This window comes from Homo sapiens, chromosome 3 (assembly GCF_000001405.40).
Source record: "Homo sapiens chromosome 3, GRCh38.p14 Primary Assembly".
NCBI classification, from domain to species: Eukaryota; Metazoa; Chordata; class Mammalia; order Primates; family Hominidae; genus Homo; species Homo sapiens.
In genome coordinates this window covers 168,641,839-168,664,712 of record NC_000003.12, presented here as the reverse complement: position 1 = coordinate 168,664,712, position 22,874 = coordinate 168,641,839, and the positions used below count along the sequence as shown (strand labels likewise).

General features: G+C 35.9%; 1 pseudogene across 1 annotated transcript in view; it reads right to left on the bottom strand.

Moving 5' to 3' along the window:
- The window catches only part of EGFEM1P (EGF like and EMI domain containing 1, pseudogene), a 581,078-nt pseudogene that overhangs the window by 165,887 nt on the left and 392,317 nt on the right, over positions 1 to 22,874 (bottom strand). The window contains exon 5 of the transcript NR_021485.2: positions 19,341 to 19,463. The product of NR_021485.2 is annotated as an EGF like and EMI domain containing 1, pseudogene (transcript). The remainder of the gene's footprint in view (positions 1 to 19,340; positions 19,464 to 22,874) is intronic.

Sequence of the window (22,874 nt, the reverse complement as noted above, 5' to 3'; positions counted from 1 at the left end):
CATGTACAGTAGCAGAGACTGGACTAGATTCTGTGGCTATTTTCTATCTCCTCATGTTTCTTTTCATGCACGTGCCCAAATTAAATTAGTTCCAGGACTGATCATTACTGCAGAAGGAGGGTTTAAAAACTCTAGTCAATATTTTTGAATATCTACAGGAAGTAATAGTCCTAGCACTCAAAGTATTAGCACTGTTTCTTTTCTTAAACGTATATCTTATATACATGCTAATATTTGACCTATGCTTTTAATTATTTAGTGATCATAGGAAGTAAATTCTTACTTTTGATTTTAATTGAAAAAAATCTTTTTGAACAGCAGTATGATTTTTCAGCTCAATAAAGGCTGAAATATCTAGCCTCAGACTTCTTTATGTGTATATGTGTGTGTGGCCAGTTGGGGATGCTCCAAGATTACCAAATATAATAATAATTATAATACCAATTATAGTTATAATGAATATTATAATAGTGAGTTAGAAAATTATTTTCTCCTAATAAATCAATGAGTGAAAAGAAAGCCTATGTTAATATGAACTATGTGTTGTTAGACTATAGTGACCGCTGAAGAAGAATTTATATAACACTATTATCAAAAACAATTTTCTTCCACAGAAAGTTGTGTAGAAGTCTACCAAGTCTCATCAAGAACAGCAGTTTCTAAAGATAAACTTTAGACAACAACCCAGTGTCCCAAATGATTAGGGGACATTTGATAAAGACCAGATAAAATGAAATAAATTATAATCTTTGCAGCAAATCATGAAAACCGGCAAAGAGAAGAACAACAGCCATGTAGAGAGGCCCTATACCTTAAAGAAACTATTGACAATAACTTTTCCATCTCTAATCTTCCACCCAATGATTTATACTCAGGCAAGTCTGAGATGTCATCTGGGAAGTTCTGGCTAGCTGCCACTGAAGACTTCTCTCAGGATGAAATGACTATGATGAATTCTCTTCAATCTAAGGGGGCCTTGTCACTTCATTTTATCTCCTTGCTGCAGACGAATAAGTAAAATCAGAAAATGACCTAATGGTTTATAGGTCTTAATGCTGCATTATCATGATTAGCCAAACAGAAATCGGAAAGTTGGTTGTCAAGCATAGAAACTGCATTAGTTGGCTTTTGTTGTAATAACAACCCAAAGGCTAAGGGGCATACAACCACCAATATCTTCCTTGCTTAGAGGTCTCAGGTTGGCTGTCGCTCTACTCAGCTCTGTACATCATTCTAGGACCCAGATAAAAGAGTAGACTCTGTCTGGGACTTGCTTTCTTTATGGCACAGGGCAAAGATGGAAGAGTTCATGCTAACCTATGGACTCACGTTTAAAACATCTGCTCAGAACTGGTGCTATATCACATTAATTGCTATGCTATTGACCCAACCAAGTCATAAGCCCAAGTCAACCAATGGATGGGAGAAATACCTTTGCCTTCAGGGGAGTACTCAAATCTACATGTATTTATAAGGGATGAAGGACACATTTTTATACGTCTCTTATGGAGCACAGGAAGCATAGCTGGGAACTGTGCTTATTGTTGATTAATTGCCTCCTATCTCCAAGTTCATTATTTTTGCCTTCACTGTGAAAATGGATCTGGGCCCTTTAATTTCCCTTTGTCAGCAGGCACTATGTTAAAACTTGCCAGTAAAGGACAACGGAAAGACATTGTAGAGTAAGCATCATCCTTCCTGGCTCCAGTGTACTTTTCTAGACAGGCTCCTGATGCAGCTTCTCTTGTTCCTGGCTCCCCTAAAGCAGACGACTTCTCTAGTCCGGCTCTTGGAGCCTGTGTAGCCTTTTCAGTGTCTGGCTCCCATAGTTCAGGTATCTTCTCCAGCAACTGGTTTTCTCAATGTGTCCAACTTTCCCAGCACCTAGCCTTTGAAATGCCTTCTCCAGCCTTTGGAAGGCCCTTTCTCCAGCACTATTCGCCGGCAGTGTGGTGGCTTCTAGGGTTTACAGCTAGGTTGCTACTTTGCACATAGCTTCTTCAAACCCATCTTCTACAACGCGGCAGCTTCTCTGGTGCTGGGCTCCTGCAGCACATGTAGTTTCTTTAGCACCTGACTTGTGCAGTCACGGGTGGCCAGCAGCATCCAATGACCAGCAACTTCCCGACTCTCCCCTTGGGCAAAAGATAATTTACCTTGAACAGTTTTCTCCCACCTCCTAGACTGTAGATTTCTGGCAAGTTCAAGAAGCCCGATTTTCAAGTCCTGCTGGTGTGGCAACACAGTGACCTCTCTGCCATTCAGTGAACCGTGGTTGCAACCTTTCTAACTAGGTCTGGATCTCAGCCCTGGGGGAGTCTCTTCTTTGGGTGAAATGGAATCAGTTCACCCCTAGAAGGTAGTAGTTGAAATCCTGTATTTTTTAGCATTCTCTTTATTTCTTATAGGCCAGTTCCTTATTACTCCAACCTCCTGTTATAGTTAATTCTTTATATTAAACTTCCCATGTTCAAATTACTGTGCAGTTCTTTCTCTCCTGATTGGACCCAGACTGATGCAGGAACTATAATATAAGCTATCACAGAGATCTAACAAATGGAATCAATGAGATGAAACTTGCTGTTTAATGGGATAAAGTAGCCTAACATATTCATTTGCACATAGGACAGGGATTCTCAAAGTCTGTTGGTTAAGGCTTCATCTTTCCTGGGCATTCCTGGGTGGTTTTTTCTCTTTGTACATCTCTGTATCTGACCACACTTGATTGCCAGGATCCTTCTTAAGCTCTATGAATACCATCAGATTATAGTCAGGCTCTTTAAGCCTCTCTGAGAACAGAATTAATTCTCCTGATTTTTCTCCACTTGATTTTGTGTTGAATTTTAAAAGACATCTAATTTTCTTTCTTTCTCCAAATTCTTGAGCTTGGCCTACTGGCTCTCTCACTTAGGCCAGTATCACATACACATTAGAAAAGACCTATGAAGAACAACATTTTAAAAAGCACCAATCCCTTAAAACTATAATTGCTACATCTCTGTTCTGATAAGCTTAATAATCTATGATAACTACGAACTTAATTATCAGAGTGTGTGAAGTATATATAGAAATCCAAGGATAAAATTTGTATAAGCAGTTCTGTTAAAATAAATATCATATATCACACAAAATCATGTAAATTTTTATCATTTAAAATTTATTTTCTGAGAACCAGCACAGCAAATGTAAACCATTTTATTGGGCAAAAAAGAACCTAACTTGCACTTTATTATTTATTTATTTATTTATTTATTTATTTATTTATTTATTTATTTTTGAGACAGAGTTTCACTCTTGTTGCCCAGGCTGGAGTGCAATGGCGTGATCTCGGCTCACTGCAACCTCTGCCTCCCGGTTCAAGCGATTTTCCTGCCTCCCTAAGTAGCTGGGATTACAGGCACCCACCACCATGCCCAGCTAATTTTCTTTCTTTTTTTTTTTTTTTTTTTTTTGTATTTTTAGTAGAGATGGGGTTTCACCATGTTGGTCAGGCTGGCCTCGAACTCCTGATCAGGTGATCCACCCACCTCAGCCTCCAAAGTGTTGGGATTACAAGCGTGAGGCACCATGCCCAGCCTGTAACTAGCACTTTAAATTAATATGTGAATATATTTTTTGCAGAAGTATTTGAGACTGCAGCTATTCCTCTCAATTGAAAAATGAGGAAGTCAAATAATTATTTGAGAAAACATATAATGTTTTATTTTCTTGTCTAAAATCTCCTCTAAACTGACTACTGATGTGGATAATTGATGACAATAAGGTCAACATGAATATATTGAATACAAGGTAGGTGTCTAACACTGGGATAGAACTGGGGAAATCTAAGAAATGTTTTTGGGAGAGACACAGAAACAAAGAAAGCCAAATGGAAAACAAGGTTACCTTAAAGCTGTGCATAAAAGGCCAAGTAGAATCCACGGCTGCTGTAATGTGTGATAAAATTTAATTGCTGCTTTTGCTTTGCTCTCTTCTAGCCTCTAATGTGATATAATCTCATATCTTACTAGATACCATAGGTTCTCTGTGTTAGCTATAAGGTTCAGAAAAGTAGTTTTTATGTGGTCATTATAACCTCTAAAAATCTTTTCCTGGCCTCTTGCACAGAATTCCAGCTTTCGAATTACACTTAAATTTGTAGATTTACGCTTGTGAATTACGGCATTTACAACCTGAAAGAGACTTTGAAGATGTTCCATTCCTAATGTCTCATTTTATAGATGGGCAAATTAAGGCCCAGAGAAGTGAAGAGATATATTCTGGGTTATAGACTTGGTGGTGAATCTGAAATCACTAAGGTTTCATAATGCCTACGTTAGTGATCTTCATACTGCCTAAAGTCATGCGGACAAAAAGAGTGAATCTGTTTTGATATCAGAGAGTACTACTTGTAAAAATGAAGACTTGAATAGCTATAACTGAAAGAAAAAGGCTGGCCAGGGGGCTGTCTTCATGCTGTGTGTTATGCTGACAATGTGTGGCTCCTCAAGATCCCCATTTTTACCTAATTTAGGAACTATTACCCATATATGGCATATTCATCCTGATATAAACAGGAGCATCTAATTAACACTCTGAGATTCTGAGTGTGTCTCTGTGTATCTTTTAAGCAAAATTTTTTTCTTTCTTTTTTTTAAGCAAACATACTTTTTTGTTTGCTTGCTTACTTATTTGTATATAAAGAAACTTTTTTTTAAAAAAAGAGTTGTTGCTCACTTCTCTTTGCAAACCATCTGGCAATTTCATTTTCCAATGACATCAAACAAAAGGGAAACAGTAAATATAGTAACAGGAGAAAAAGTAAAGACAGTTCATCTCATCAATGAAAGAAATTATTTACAACCAGATTTGAGCAGTGCTAAATATTATGCTCCAAAAGCATAAAAATAGTAATATTGAGGGGAAGTTTCCATCTTTATACTTACTTCTCATTAATTTGAAATTGACATAACTTTTGATTTAATGGGAAATAGACACCAGCATAAAAAGAAAGTCTAGGTTCATAATGAAGATAATAAGCAGATTCTGCCAGATGGCAACATCAAAACCTATGGCAGGGCACATACAGAAATCAAGTACTAATTTTCAAATAAAAAAGGATGAATAAATAGGTCTTCGTCATTTTTATATAATCATTTTTCTATAATGTCAGGAAATTTCATAAGATATATCTGGTTGGAATGTGATATTTCTGTTTAGTGCTTTTAAAGATGCACTTATTCTACATACTGCATTTGGCATTTCTGCTATCGATAATAGATTTATTATTCATCATCATCTTACTTAAAGAGACTTTGATATGTCCCCTTTCCCTTGGGTCCATTGTGTCATCAGAATTAACTGATTCTTCCCTCTTTATACAACTTATGGATATTAATAGCTAGGCAATTTCACTGGCCCATAAATGGTATCCCTGTCATTTCCATGTCTTTTTGTCTTTCTATAACATCCTATGACTCATGCCCAGAACAACTTTCAGAAATCACATTTCCACCCTATTATTCCTCTACTCAGATGTCCTCCATCAGAAACCACATTCCTATCCACTTACCTAGGGGATTTACCTATTGAGTTGAAACTGTCCTCTGTCTAGCCCCAATAAATCATCCACTAGTTCCCTGAATATACTCTCTGCCCTATCCAATAAGTTTTCTATTTCCAGAATATGCAATTAAGCCATTTCTCAAAATGCTCTCTACTAAATCCTTGAATTTTAAACATTTTGCTTTTAAAAAATTTCCAGATGAGTAGGTTGCGAAAATTTTCTCCCATTTTGTAGGTTGCCTGTTCACTCTGATGGTAGTTTCTTTTGCTGTGCAGAAGTTCTGTAGTTTAATTAGATCCCATTTGTCAATTTTGGCTTTTGTTGCCATTGCTTTTGGTGTTTTAGACATGAAGTCCTTGCCCATGTCTATGTCCTGAATGGTAGTGCCTAGGTTTTCTTCTAGGGTTTTTATGGTTTTAGGTCTAATGTTTAAGTCCTTAATCCATCTTGAATTAATTTTTGTATAAAGTGTAAGGAAGGGATCCAGTTTCAGCTTTCTACATATGGCTAGCCAGTTTTCCCAGCACCATTTATTAAATAGGGAATCCTTTCCCCATTGCTTGTTTTTCTCAGGTTTGTCAAAGATCAGATAGTTGTAGATACGTGGCATTATTTCTGAGGGCTCTGTTCTGTTCCATTGATCCATATCTCTGTTTTGGTACCAGTACCATGCTGTTTTGGTTACTGTAAGCTTGTAGTATAGTTTAAAGTCAGGTAGTGTGATGCCTCCAGCTTTGTTCTTTTGGCTTAGGATTGACTTGGTGATGTGGGCTCTTTTTTGGTTCCATATGAACTTTAAAGTAGTTTTTTCCAATTCTGTGAAGAAAGGCATTGGTAGCTTGATGGGGATGGCATTGAATCTATAAATTACCTTGGGCAGTAGGGCCATTTTCACAATATTGATTCTTCCTATCCATGAACATGGAATGTTCATCCATTTCTTTGTAAACTCTTTTATTTCATTGAGCAGTGGTTTGTAGTTCTCCTTGAAGAGGTCCTTCACGTCCCTTGTAAGTTGGATTCCTAGGTATTTTATGCTCTTTGAAGCAATTGTGAATGGGAGTTCACTCATGATTTGGCTCTCTGTTTGTCTGTTATTGGTGTATAAAAATGCTTGTGATTTTTGTACATTGATTTTCTATCCTGAGACTTTGCTGAAGTTGCTTATCAGCTTAAGGAGATTTTGGGCTGAGACAATGGAGTTTTCTAGATATACAATCATGTCATCTGCAAACAGGGACAATTTGACTTCTTCTTTTCCTAATTGAATACCCTTTATTTCCTTCTGCCTAATTGCCCTAGCCAGAACTTCCAACACTATGTTGAATAGGAGTGGTGAGAGAGGGCATCCCTGTATTGTCTGACAAAGGGCTAATATCCAGAATCTACAATGAACTCAAACAAATTTACAAGAAAAAAACAAACAACCCCATCAAAAAGTGGGCGAAGGACATGAACAGACACTTCTCAAAAGAAGACATTTATGCAGCCAAAAAACACATGAAAAAATGCTCACCATCAATGGCCATCAGAGAAATGCAAATCAAAACCACAATGAGATACCATCTCACACCACTTAGAATGGCAATCATTAAAAAGTCAGGAAACAACAGGTGCTGGAGAGGATGTGGAGAAATAGGAACACTTTTACACTGTTGGTGGGACTGTAAACTAGTTCAACCCTTGTGGAAGTCAGTGTGGCGATTCCTCAGGGATCTAGAACTAGAAATACCATTTGACTCAGCCATCCCATTACTGGGTATATACCCAAAGGACTATAAATCATGCTGCTATAAAGACACATGCATACGTATGTTTATTGTGGCACTATTCACAATAGCAAAGACTTGGAACCAACCCAAATGTCCAAAAATGATAGACTGGATTAAGAAAATGTGGCACATATACACCATGGAATACTATGCAGCCATAAAAAATGATGAGTTCATGTCCTTTGTAGGGACATGGATGAAATTGGAAATCATCATTCTCAGTAAACTATCACAAGAACAAAAAAACCAAACACCGCATATTCTCACTCATAGGTGGGAATTGAACAATGAGAACACATGGACACAGGAAGGGGAACATCACACTCTGGGGACTGTTGTGGGGTGGGGGAAGGGGGGAGGGATAGCTCTAGGAGATATACCTAATGCTAAATGATGCGTTAATGGGTGCAGCACACCAGCATGGCACATGTATACATATGTAACTAACCTGCACATTGTGCACATGTACCCTAAAACTTAAAGTATAATAATAATAAAAAAAATATTTCCAAACATGTTTGAAAAACATGTTTGGAAACTTGTGTTAAACAAAGTGAAATGGCTCCCCTTTTGCCTGATTTAAGAGAGCTTTAGCATGTAGTACTCTCCAAAATTATTTGACCATGGACCCTTTTTCATGAAGCCAATTGTTTGATACAGTGTGTTTATATGCACACACATATGAACATTTATGTATTAAAATCTTTCTATTTATCTAAATTAAAAGCTTCAGAAGAATTAAATGTATGGTTACCATATAATCCAGCAATTCAACTCTTAGGTATACACCCAAGAGAAATAAAACTTATCTACACACAAAACTTGCAGATGAATGTTTGTAGTAGCATTAGCCGTAATAGCCAAAAGGTGGAGACAACCCAAATGTCCATCAACTGACAAATGGATAAACAGAAAGTGGTATGTCTACACAATGAAATATTATTTGTCCATGAAAAGGAATGAAGTACTGATACAACATGGATGAACCTTAAAAACACTATGCTAATTGAAAGAAGCCGGTCACAAAACATTGCATATCATATAATTCCATTTATATAAAAGTATAGAGAAATCTATAGAGACAAAGAGTACATTTGTGGTTGCTTAGGGTTATGGGAGTGATGGGAGTGGAGGGAAGTGATCCTAAAATGTATAGGGATTCTTTTTGACATGATAAAAATGTTCTAAAATCTACTGTAATAATGATTGCATATATTTGTTAATATACTGAAAACTTCTGAATTTTACAATTTAAATGGATGAAATGTATGGGCTGTGAATTTTATCTCAACAAACTGGTTTCTTAAAATGTTTCAGAATTGCAGGCACCACATTTCACAGCATTTTGTATCCCTTCTCTATGGCTGTATTATAATTAGCAAATGCTTAATTATTATCTGACACATTGAGAGAATGAGCTGACAAAAGCCTTTTTACCCAGTGTGGTCACTGGATCAGCATCATCTCAAATCCCAGGAGCCTGGTAGAAATGCAGATTCTTAGGCTGATCCCACACCTGCTGAATCAGAATCTGCATTTTAACAAGATCTAAGGTGATTCATATGCACATTAAGTACTGAACTGTAGTATCTTCTAATTGTTGAGTACACTAAGCTTTTACACAGCTATTTTGCTTTCTCATGCCTTAGGGTTTTTTACAGGGATTAAATCAATTCACTTTTAATAAAGACAGCATCGAATGAATTATAATTAACCTAATTTTCCTAGCTGCAGTTTTAATTTGTTTTCCAAAGCTCAGTCAGGCCACCAAAATGTGATGATTATTTAAAATAAAAGAAGTGATATAAAAGTAAATAGACCAGTGATTTAAATACAGAAAAATAAATATAAAATAAATATATTTAAAAATAAATATAAATATGTTATATATTTATACAGAAAATTTAATTACAAAAGATTTGAATACAGAAAAATAAATATAGATATAAATATATTTTAAAATAAATACAAAAATAAATAGATAAATGATTTAAATACAGAAGCTTCCAGTTCACTTGTTCAAAATTATACAACAGATGATTTTAAATCAACTTATTTTCTCACCAATGAAAAGCAATTTATAAACAACTTTTTTCTTATTCTTGTCTACATTTTTTGATGGATTACCACAGGGGTCATCTTAGTCATGCTAAAAAATTATTAAATATACATCAAGCAGAGAAAAGACATTTTGTTTGCACATCTCATCTGGATGGTTTATGCTATTGCTGAGACCGCTATAAGATTTGAAGTGTCCCACTTCAGTAAGCTTGTCAGAACTACAGAACTTTATAACTTAGAAACATGTGTTTGATACGGCATAAAGTATATATGTATAAAATGCATTCCTTTACATGATTATTCTTGTCTCTCCTCTCTCCTGCCCTTCTCCCCGACCTCTCATGCCCACACAGACAGAGAAACCTAGGGTATCTTAGTTCTGCTCTTCTCTATCCCAACCCTGAACTGGGAGTCACTAGGACCCAGTGCCAGTCTGAGACCAACCAAAGCTAACACCTGTTCCCTTCCTATGTGTGTTCCTAGCCAGCAATGACCTCCTACAGTATGCAGTTCCCTTCAGGTGGTCTATTACTTGAGTATTTTCAAATGGCTTTATACAACATTAACTGCCTTTCTCATTCTGCAAGATAGACTTAAAAAATCATATTTGAATGACAATAATTAATTTATAATCACTCTGTGTATTTTGATAATCACAAAAGCCTGTGATTTCATACAATGTTAGAGACCTGCTATCTTCCTTATTAAAATGAGAACAACACTTTTTAGAAAAGTTCTCCAGATTCTTTTCATATATCTTTCCTATTTATAGGAAATGTGAAATATAAGACATTTGTATTTGTAATAGCATAAAGAATTCTGTATGTTTACAATATTACTATTCTTAGGAATATGCTCTTACCAATGAGATACTCATAGAGAAGATATAAAGTAAAAATACAAATAAATATGCATACTCTCAGAAGGTTGGGTTTACCAGTAATACATGTGGAATACACGCATCACATGCATCCATTGGGACAAATAAAATGAGTGCTATCCTTTTATTATGATCTAAATTAAATTCAAGGAAGTACAGACCTGGCCTGTTGACAAACTCAGAATTGGAATTAATAATAAAAACAGAAAATTAACTTGAATTTATGAACTACAGTATATAGTTTTTTTCAGAAATGAGTACCTTCATTTCTTTCTATGATATCATATGCTGAGGATGACTGGTCATCAGAAGGCCACTAAAAATACAAACACATGAAAGTCAATAGCAGCAAAATAACAAATCAACTTTAACTGACTTATTTCCTGATTAAAAATCACACATATGTATTCATAGGCTCCCTTAATAAGTCCTTATTGCAAGAAAAATAAGTCTCCATTATTTAAAAATTGATGAAGGAATTTCTTATAGCAAGAAAATTAAAAAGTCAGTCATCCGTAACTACTTTTATGATAGTAATAGAAAGGAATATGGATCTTGTAAGGGCAGGAACCAACCCTCTACATTTCAGAAGTCTAAAAGGATCATGCTTTAGAATACAGGATCACACTGATCTTTTGGTAGGTATGATTTCATAATACAAAAAATACCTACAAGGTAAACACACATCTGAAGAATTCAAGCCAGGATGCATCAGTTGGAAAATATTTCTGGGAAGTAAATATAATAATACAGTCTTTTAAAAATATCAGCTCATTTTTAAGACTACTAAACAGAAAAACTAAAAAATAATTGTGAATGAAACTAAAAGTTTTATTCTTCAGAATATAAAATATTTTATGCTTCCCAATTTACAGTAAAATTTAAGGACCATGAGCCAAATTTTGGTAAGGAGGTATCTTGCTGCTCACCACATTCAGACAGCTTCACACAGCCATTTGCCCTGATTGGCTGCTTCTGCTTCATTGTTTTTGTAGTAAGAGTGGCATGGGCTGCTGAGGCAATAAGAAGCCTTTTGATGTCTTGCTTGTCAGCCACAGACCTCTAAGACGTCTTTTTTTTTTCTTGTCTGCCTCTTTTGGCACTACCTGTAGAAGCCATAACTGCCATAAATCTGCACATCCCTAATGAAATCTGCTAAGTGAGCCAGCTCACCTTGGGGAATCTGTATGAGCTATAGTCTCTTCCAGCTCCTCTCACTTGTAGATACTCTGTTGACTACAGTTAAGTGTTAGCTGAAAGCTGAGGTATTGAAGGAATTACTCAGGATTATTGGGGGAGAAATGATGGACTTTATTTAAAAGACTGGCTTAACTATAAATAAAGTTGATTTCCATTTTCATAACAGAGTTTCAGATTTGAATTATATGTGTTTTCACTCTAGTCTAAAAGACACATATATCTAAGAATACTCTCAGAAATTTCTGTAAGGAATGTCTTGGGAACAGCAGTAGCAGCTTTGTTGTTAAAATCCCGGATGCCGTCCAGTGTCAATCAAGAGACACAAGAGACAGCAGGACAAGTCATATTGGGCAGAACTCCACTAGGGAATTTATTAAGGAAATTAAAGAAATGGAAGGTTGGTTGTTCAGTCCCAGGGCTAAGTGATTAGTGTCTGTCCCAGTTCCTTGCAGCCCATTTTGATTCAACAGTGGGTTATCTTTTTCTCCTCTTAATTCTCATAGCACTTGTGCCTGCCTTATATTTACTCCTGCTATCTTACACTATAGCTGTTTGTGTATCCATCTAATCTCCTTTATTGAACTGGAAGCTCCTGGGAGAGAAAAAGATAATATTGTACATTTTTTTAAATCTTCAACAACAAATAGCATAGGAGGAAATTAAAAAAAAACTGGAGAGAAATAAAATTTCCTAAGCATTAGGCAAATATAAAGTGCTACTATTTTGAGGGGATACAATAACAAATTCATGTTGCCTGCCTGAATTTTGAATTAATTGAGATCTAATTCAAAATAGGCATATGGAGACAAAATATCCATTTTATTTTTGTTAAAATTGAAACTGGATAAGAGAATTTAAGGGTGCAGCAACAATGGGCTTCCCAAAAATGCATGCAGAATTAGACAAACTCTCCCACTTGGTCCCAGGTGTAGATGGAAAACCTGTCTTCTTCATGTGGGGTCCTGGCATGGTGAAACTTCCATTTAAGCAGAGAAGCAGACCAGAATGGTCACTTTTTGCAGGCATTTGCAAGCCCCAAAGAGAAAATATGAATGTGAGCTAAACCCAACAGACCAATTTATTTCCCCAAACTCACCAGTGAGGTATTTTCACACCTCTTCTCTTGGTAAGAAGGGAGTGGGAGATGTGGGGTGCAGACAGAGGTCAAGAATGTTACTAATAAACAATCCCTCTTTAGGTGAGCACGAAACAGGGGAAAGAAGGTTTTCCTACCATCAAGATGCTTTCAAACTACATCTTATTTGATCTTTCAACCTATATAAGGCTAAGTATTATTACTCTGGTTTTATAGATGAAGGGAAAGCCCATAGATACTAAATAACTTGCTCTAAGTCTCACAGCTAGTAAATGTTAGAGTCAATATTTGAACCGAAAATTTGTGCTCTTTGTTTGACATGGAGCACAGTGTAAGGGTCTGATACGTGCTTGGTGAATAATAAGAAAAAAAACTCTGAATACAATTATGAATCAAGTAGATAAATCCCCCACATTTTAAGTGGTTCAAACCTTTTAAATGTAGTTATTCTGTATTGTAAATGTGTTTCTATAAATTCAAAATGGACAATCTTTAGTATATGTAGATAGACTATATTGGATTTTTTTCAAATTATTCTTCATCTGTATAAATTTCAATGGTTGGCAATTCCAATAGTTAACTACTCCAGTATTTGGCTAGCTCTTTGAGGCCAGGGAACTGCTGTTACTTTGCATGCTCCACAACACCAATAGAAAGAGGTACAGAGTTCCTTTATAAGTGACTATTAAGAGAAGCAACATGCAGAAGTAGAAAAATTCTTCATAATGATTTCAAGTTTTCTTAATAAACTCAAAATAAATATGCATGTGTATGTGTATACATATATCATATTTTATTCTTCAAGTGCCAACAGACTATATTTGGCACAATAAATGTTTTTACTAAGTTGAACAACTACACATTAGTGTGCTGTAAGTGTGTGGAGAATTACTGATTATTTAAGTGTCTCTGAACTAAGAAGAAAATAAAACACACAGGCTTAAACGGGAGCAATATAGGTGACATATAAGGAACGCTTTCCTGATCACAAGAGTTATTAAAAGATGTCCTCCCTTGGAGATCTCTAATACTAGGGTAAACAACTAGCTGGTTTAGACACCATGCTGCTTGGAGGCAAAGAGCTAGCCTGAGTGAACTCTCAAAGGATATAATATAATTACTTGACTTTCATGTAAAATATCACACAATCATTTTATATTCAGGATGCTTAATAATACTGAAACTCTGTGAAGAAATAAACCATACTCTGTACTAAAATATGGGTTGGGTATTCTCGAATTACCCAGCACAGTGCTGGACATATAGTAGTTACCCAATAAATGTTTACTGACCAGATTGATTTTTCAATGAAGAAGAATGACAAATGGGAAAAGGGGAACTGGATTCTGTTTTTTGCTTTACAAATAAATTGTCTAGGACTTGGAGGAAATCAGTCAATCTCTCAGGGTCTTAATTTCCCTCCTCTGACAATCATGGCTTCTATGAGTTGAGGGCCTCTCTACCCCCACAACACTGTGACCCCACAGTCAGACTAGTCTGCATCCGGTTCATGCTGCCCATCAACCACATCAAAGGGAAAGGACAGTGGGTAACAAATAAGAAAGTTTGGCTTCTGGTGTCATTTTGCTCATCAACTAGCACTGTTACCTTGTCCAAATCATTTAATTTCCCTGGAATTCCAACTATAGAAGCCTTTTGGAAGCTGAAATATTCTGTAATTCCACCACAGTGGCATGCTGAATTATATTCTCTGTTTATTCACTTAATCATGTCCATATGCTTTAGAAAAAAAAATCCAAAATATCATTAAAATTACTTTAAAATATTTTAACAATCAATTATTTAAACAATATGCCTTTATCAATGTATAGTATATGTTCATTTATTTCTCTCAAATAGAAGAATTTATCTCAAATGTCCAAACAATGTTCACTATCTTTCTAAGTTAATTTATTAGAATATATAGTAATATTAGTTACCATTTCATTTAGAAAACTTCTTTGACACCACAAGATTACCGTGCTTGAATAGCCACACTACTTACGTTGTGGCACCAATAATTTAGACAAGCCATATGAAGAAACTTTTCAGAAAGCTGAAAGCAAGCCAAAAGTCTTTGATTTGCTCCCTAGAAACAAAAAAATGTGATTTTTCCCTTTCAAATGACTTGTTATCAGCAAATACTTACATTAAGACCTACTGATAACCAAATAGTTTAACTAGTCAAACTTTAAGTGACAATTTCAGCATGATTAGAATCTGTAGATAAGGAAATGAATAAAATGAATAAAAGCCATATTGACTGTATGCTTGTATGTTTGAAAGGATGATGGTATTCATTCATTCAATAAGCATTTATGGAATCCCCCTATGTGCTAGACAACTGTGTGCTGGGGATGAAAAAGTGATAAGACATGGTTCTTTCCCAGGAGATATCCCCAATCTAATTGACAGTACAAATGTGTAAATAAGTACAGTGCTCTGTAAGAAGTTATGGAACAGAGGTATTAGTGTATATAACATGAAAGGGAAGAGAGTGTAACTAATGGTCCTAGAAATAAGGAACAATAGATTTAGACCTTCCACAAGGACCCCAGATGCTGGATTCAGATATGGAATATAGAAGGCTTATATGTGAAATAGCAAAAGAAGATAATACAACTATAAAAATGAGCATACATACAAAAGATAATCTATAAATTTGAGAAAAATGATATTTCTAAAACATAAAGTTAAATGGTTGAAATCTGAAGCAGTATAATCAGAATTACAGAAGAAGGGGATGTTTAGCAACATTCTGACCTCCATCCACTAGATGCCAGTGGCACCTACTCCCCTCAGTCGTGAAAATCAATAGTGTCTCCGAACATTGACAAGTGCCTCTGGGGTACAAAATCACCCCAGTTGAGAGCCACTGCCATAAAGAACATATGAGAAACAAAAATTACTGGCCTATTTCACTCACAGTTGTGGATACAACATCCTAAACAAAATAATAGAGAATTGACTTTAATAGCAAATAAAATGATACCAGTTGAATTTTTTCTGAAGTGCAATTATAGTTGCATATTTGAAAATCTATAAAAATAATCACTCACACTAGCAAATGAAAGAAGAAATTTACATCCTTTCAATAGATAAGCATATATACATATACATACAAGTATGCACATATATAGATCTATATATAGATCTGTGTGTGTGTGTGTGTGTGTGTGTGTGTATGAACCAGCAGTTTCCAATTTTTTTGGCACCAGGGACCAGTTTTGTGGAAGACAATTTTTCCACAGACCGGGGTAAGGGGGATGGTTTTAGGATGATTCAAGTGTATTACATTTATTGTGCACTTTATTTCTATTATTATTACATTGTGATAGATAACAATTATACAACTCAACATAAGGTAGAATCAGTGGGAGCCCTGAGCTTGTTTTCCTGCAACTAGACAGTCCCATCTCGGGGTGATGGAAGACAGTGACAGATTATCAAGCATTAGGTTCTTGTAAGGAACACAAAATCTAGATCCCTTGCATGTGCAGTTCACAGTAGGGTTTGCATTTCTATGAGACTCTAATGCCATGGCTGATCTGACAGAAGGTGGAGCTCAGGTGGTGATGTGAGTGATGGGGAGGAACTGTAAATACAGATTAAGCTTTGCTCACTCACCCGCCACTCACTTCCTGCTGTGTGGCCCAGTTCCTAACAGACCATGGAGCAGTACTGGTCTGTGGCCCGAGGTTTGGGGATCCTTGACACACACTATGTAAATATTTTAATATCTCCCACAGCATCCAGTGGAAGGCATTTTTTCCCTTCATTTGCTTCTTTAATCTATATCTTGTAAGAATCAATCTGCGTGTGAATCAGAAAACATTCTTTAGATTCAGTGCTATGCCTGAAAGAAGGGGATACCAGTGAAACTGAGCTAATCAAGAGCCTTCTCCACAAGTTTATACCTCTTTATAGAAAAAGTTAAAGAGTAAGATTAACTAACAAGATTGTTTATAAATGTTTAAATTCTGTCCACTTAAGGACAGACTCTAGATTTATTATTTATTATTTATTATTTTAGAGACAGGGTCTCACTCTGCTGTCCAGGCTGGAGTGCAGTGATGTGATCACAGCTCACTGCAGCCTTGAACTCCTGGACTCAAGTGATTCACCTGCCTCAGCCTCCCAAAGTGCTGGGATTATAGGCGTGAGCCACCATGCCCAGCCTAGATTTATTTAAATAGTACAACAAATGCCCATTAAAATGCTGGTCTCTATATTTTAAAAAGCAATTCAAATAACTTAAATTCAATTTATATTAATGCAAAGTAAAAGTATTTTTAAATGACTGTTTAATTCAATGCTGTAGCATTCAACTAAATGGTCTTTGAAACCAACTGACTTCTACTGTTACCAGCCAGTAAATAAACATGAATGACTCATTTCTACACTCACATGAATGTTCATTTGCAGTGTCTTTAGAATGCACTGGATTTCAAAATGATCTCTATTATATTTTATTTAATCATGTATATAAATAAACCTGAGATGATTGTATGTTCAACAATCAAGCAAGCTGAATCTCTAGCAGTACCATCTCCAGCAAATAGTCATTTAAGGAAATGAAAAGAAAAAAAAGATTCTAACATCAATGAGACTGAGAGAAGAGGTTCTTTGCAGGTAAGCTGCTCTACTTCAAACCACCATCCCTAGTCCTGGGAAAGTAGGAAGTCAGTGTTATCTCATTATATCAAACTCTGGATTCTTGATTATCATACTCTTGATTCATACAAATACTGACCTTAATTGTATTCAGTTTGTACAAATGGACTCAGCTAAATAAAACCATGGAAATCATTTCTCTAAATACCTTGTCACTTATATGAGTGACCATGAGTAACTAACTTCAGTTAAAATAGGATATAAGTGAAAGTAAATGAACCAGTGGGTGCGAAGTCTAACATGCCTTATTAGCCTAATAGCTATTATAAAAATAATTATTATACCTAACAATGGTGAATTGCTGTGATAGGTGCTTCAAATATATCTATAATAATGACAATGATGATACAGCAATAATAATACTCAGTCAAAGAGAAATAAATAGCTTGTTGCCTGTCAGATGAAGGGAGGGTTCATGAAAACACTATTCTCATAGTACAGACCATGTCGTCTTCAGTGGTCACCATCCCACTTTTACCTTGAACACAATGCAGTCCTTGACTCTTCTTCTGAGATTGAATCAGTACTGGGATCACCATTGCCAAATAATTTCATCCAGAAATAGAGATTATTGCACTTGAATGAAAAAAGAGCCTGGGTGAATTTAGGGTTTGCCTTTGTGAATTTACACTTTTCCAGGCAGAGGATGCTTCCTGAGATGAACCCTGTCCCAGGAAGGTCCAGACATAGTTGCCTTTAAACATCTGGCTCTCTACCTGGAGCCCTTCCTATTATTGCCTGCACAAGCCCTGCTGGGAGGGAATGATAAAGGGAAATTGATACATTTTCCAACCTACTCACACCTACAATTTGTCTTGCCTTTGGTAGTCTCAATGAAACCCACAACCCTAGCCTCAGGTGCCTTCAGTGGGGATATTTTTTGTTTGTTTTGTTTTCTTTTACCAACTTATTCATACATGCCCCATCAGGAATGAACTTTGTTAAGGGAAAAAAAGAATGTGATTTTTTAAGATCCGTGATAGAACATAATCAGAATAAATGCTTTTCTACTGTTATCTTAAAACAAACAAACAAAGATGCCTGACTATATAAAATTCTCAGGCATTTTAGTAATATGGCCAGATAGAAAAAATTCAGAAAGACAGTTATAAGGCATGGTAATAGTGATCCTTTTAATCTATTATGTTCCCTTTCAGAAATTAAGAGAAGGAAGCAATCTCTGTCCCCCATTACATTCCCAAGACAGGCAGCAACTAAGTTCATAAATGAGAGTACCACTTATAGTTATCATTTGAGCACCACCCTTTATGCTAAGTGCTTTAGATGCATTACCTTATTTAATTCTCACAGCAAATTTTGTGGTTTAGAAACCACCATTATTCTAAATATTATCAATGAAGGAAGAGTATTAGCAAAATAAAATAACTTGCCCATGGTAACATAAATCATAAGTGACAGAGTTAGGTCTCAAACACATGTCTCTTTGAATCCAATGCACTTACCGCATGCTATAATGCCTAAAAATACCACTTTGTAAGGCTTGGGCTTATGTTTCAATCTTTGCTTCTAATCAGTGAGCTCCTTCAGGACATAATTTATTTCTCATTAATTTTTATATCTCCAGAGCATGGAATAATGCCTGATACAGAGCAGAAACTCAATGATTGTCAAATGAATAAAATGATGAATTAATAAATGAAGGAATTAATTTTAAAAGGAAACAGAAAATTGAGGTTTGTGCAAAAAGCTAATTCTATACCAAGAATATTATTCCTGTGGTTAGTTTTGTGCCCCTCCATTTACATTGTAGCAACATATGAGTATTTTATGATAAGTATCATTTTTACTTTAGAATTAAATGAAATGCTTTAAAAAATATGTACTTTATCCAGGGATTTAAATGAATGATTGAAATTCCATAATCAGAACATGACACAACCAAACCAGCATATAATCATATGTTTCCCATAATAAGCTACTTGAAATGTTCTTAGGGTTACAATACTGTAATCTAGACATGAGAGGAAGATCTGTGCTCTTGACAACATTCAACACAGGCACTTCAACTGGCTCTGGATAAAAGACAACCTCCTCTTTTGCATTACATAGATGTTCTCTCTTCCCTTATCAGTAAGCAGACAGTCCTGTTACCTTCACATCCTTTGCCATCTTCCTCCAGCTTCTGGCCAGCTTGACATTTGCAGTAATAACTGCCAACTGTATTACAGCATCGATCTTGACAGCCACCATTGTCAATGGTACATTCATTTATATCTGCAAGTGAATAGTCAAACAGAATTAGCCTCTTGTAACTAGACATACAAAAAGAAACTTCGGTGGGTCTCTGTTAAAAATGAACCATCATAGAATGACATCATTATTTAACCTTGGATTAAATGAAATAAAATAATATTTCATTTTAATTAGAATGAATGCACTCTAATTTTGATGTGAAGAAAGAGACAAGTCATAATTTTGGTATCTGAAATATTACTTTTGAACAATAAACTAAGGTATTTTCTAGTCTTACAGATTTGGGAAGCTTATGGTACAGACCCAGAAATTTTACATAGAATCATTTGAGGATGAAATTGAGAACAATGAGAGAAACTAAACTAAGGTCAGGACACTAGGCCACCTGCTTACCCATTAAATATGTTGTTATTGGCTTCTCAAATAATTATTAGTTACCCACCACTATATATATGCCATTGTAGTGGACAGTGTGAGAAAGGTAAAAGGGTATTTCTGTGGTTTCCAAAGTTTAAAATGTAGCTGGAGTTGAGGACTAAACAGAAATGTGATTTGGTTGAGTCCATATACAGGATATGCCCACAGACCACTCCTAAACCTGTGGCCATAAGTCATCTTTATAGACAGGACTCAATTTTATGTATTTATCCAATCCAGTTAACAATTGGCGAGTATTCCAATCCATCTTCAAGTTTGATAGTGGCCTGTGAGGTGGCTTGATTACGGTTCTGCTCAAATGAGGTACCTCTTCTGCATGTTGACTAGCTAACTTGATAGATCCTTGCCTCATGAGATGAGTGTGGCTGGAAGAGGGGATGGAGTGGACAAGGGGGAGGTATGGAGGGGCAGGGAAAAATGGGAGAAAGAGGAAGAGGGAGACAGAGGGAGACAGAGAGAGACAGGGAAGGGAGAGAAGGGTTTGGTCAGGAACAGCAGAAGAAGTAAAGTAGAAGCATAAGCAAAGTCGCACCGAAGTGTGGATCCATCAGAGCAGAAAACAACTGATACTGAAGGACCAGTCAGGTAATAGGCAGACTGAGCAACAATGCATCTTGACTGAATGTAACTGATTTTGTCTGATGTCCTTGCTATGCAGCTTTGACTGTTTTGCTCAAGTTAACTTTTCATTCAAGTGTGTCTGGCTTCTCTCATTCAGCATTGTTTAGGATATACATCCATTTTGTTGCATATACTTGTAGATCACACATTCTTATTCCTGTGTATTGTTCCCTTCTGTGAATATACTACAATATTCATTTCACAAAAGATGAGCATTTAAATATTTTCTTATTTTTGGCTTTTGTGAAGAGTGCTGCTATGAACATTCTCATGCATGTCTTCAATGAGCTTACCAATGTGTTTCTGTTGGATAATACAGTTGACCCTTAAACAATACAGGTTTGAACTATACAGGTCCATTTTATATGTGGATTTTTCTAAATACAGTGGACCCTCTATATCAGCAGGTGCTGCATCCACAACCAAATGTGGATTCAAAGTACAGTATTCACAGGATGTGAAACCTGCATATGTGGAGGGCCTGTTTTTTATATACTCGAGTTCCACAGGGCCAGATGCAGGACTTGAGTATCCACAGATTTTGGCATACACAGGTGTCCTGAAACCAATATACCCCTGCAGCTACTGAGGAGCAGCTGTACATCTAAGACTGGACTTGCTGGGTCAAAAGGTCTAAGGTGTTGTTTAGTATTTATAGACAAATGGTCTTCTTAAAAGGCTATTCTAATTTACACTCCCACCAGTGGTATATTAGAGTTCAGATGCTACTCATTCTTGCCAACATTTGGGATATGCTGGGTTTTTCATTGATCTATTCTGGGAGTTTAATAATAGCATCAGCTTATGATTCTAATTTGCATTTTCCCAGTGATTAATCAGATTAAGCACATTCTCATGTATTGGCCATTTGGATAACATCTTGTTGAAATGCTTGTTCAAATAGCTTTTCCATTTGTCCAATTCTTAAAATATTCATTATTGTACTTGTGGGTCCTCAAATAGGATGCTAAGAAAAAGTGGTGGCAATGGTTATCCTTTTCTTGCTTCAAATCTCAGGAGAGGTTTTAATAGTTCAAGGTAGGTATGATGGGTACTGTAGGGTAGATACAGATAGATATAGATAAATGTTCCTTTCTAATCCTAATTTCTTTCATATTTGATTCATAAACAGGTGTAAAGTTTTATTTACCACTTTTTTGAATCTATAAAGATAATTAGATGTTTTTTCTTATTCTGTTAACATGATAAATAACAGGATTGATTTTTGCATCTCTAAAATAAACCTCGTCATGATACGCTACTTTTTTTATATATGCCTGAGTTCACTTAGGTAATACTTCATTTGGAATTTTTATGATTTTTTCCATGAGACAGATTTGCCTGTACTTTTTCTTTTTGGTAAATAGTCTTGCTTGATTTTGACACCCAGGTCATACTAGATACATCAAAAAAAAAGTTAGAAGTGTTTCCTTCTTTTCTATTGCTGAAATAATCTGTGCAAGATTGGTATAATTTATTAATAAAATGTTTGAAAGAGCTCATTTATGACACTACCTGAGGCCTGGGATTGTGGGGTGCATATGTGTGTGTGTGTGTGTGTGTGTGTGTGTGTGTGTGTGTGTGTGTGTGCAGGCTTTCAATTACAGATTCAATTTCTTTGATATAATAATATTCAGATTTTTATTTAAATATGTGGGATAAATCATGTGTTTCAAGGAATTTGTCCCTTTCGTATTAATGTTCAAATGTATTACTGTTAAGTTGCTCATAATATTCTCATACTACTGTTTTAAATGTCTGTCCAATTGTGCTGAGGTCACCCTTCCTATTCCTGAAATTCATGTGTGTCTTCTCTTTTGTTTCTTATCAGTTTTGCTAGGAATTTGTGAGTTTTATCTATCTATCTTGGCTATCTATCATCTATCTATTTTAGTCTTTTCCTAAAAAAGCCCTGTAGCTCTACTGATTTTTCAGCATTGCACATTTTTCCCACATAATTAATTTGTGCTGTGATCTTTATCATTGCCTTTATTCTACTTCCTTGGGTTTCTTTCACTGTTCTGCTTCTAAGTTCTTAGATGGAAATTTAGATAATTGATTTTCAGTCTTTCTTTTAAAAAATATTCCTGGTTATCTGTAAACATGTAACCAATCACCTTAACACTAAGTGGCTTAGAAAGACAACTTACTATTATTTTCCACCTGTCTAGGGATTCTCAGGTAATAATCAACTGGTTGGTGCTCATTTGGGGTCCTACAGAAGGTAGTAGTAAGGTGACAGCTAGAGGTAGACCTGCATGGAGGCTTTGACACTCCCATGTTGGGATTTGGGCTGAGATGGTCAGAACATCTGGGTGGCTAGTCAGATGTCTCCCCCTCTCTCCATGAAGCTCCCCACATGCCAAACTCCTG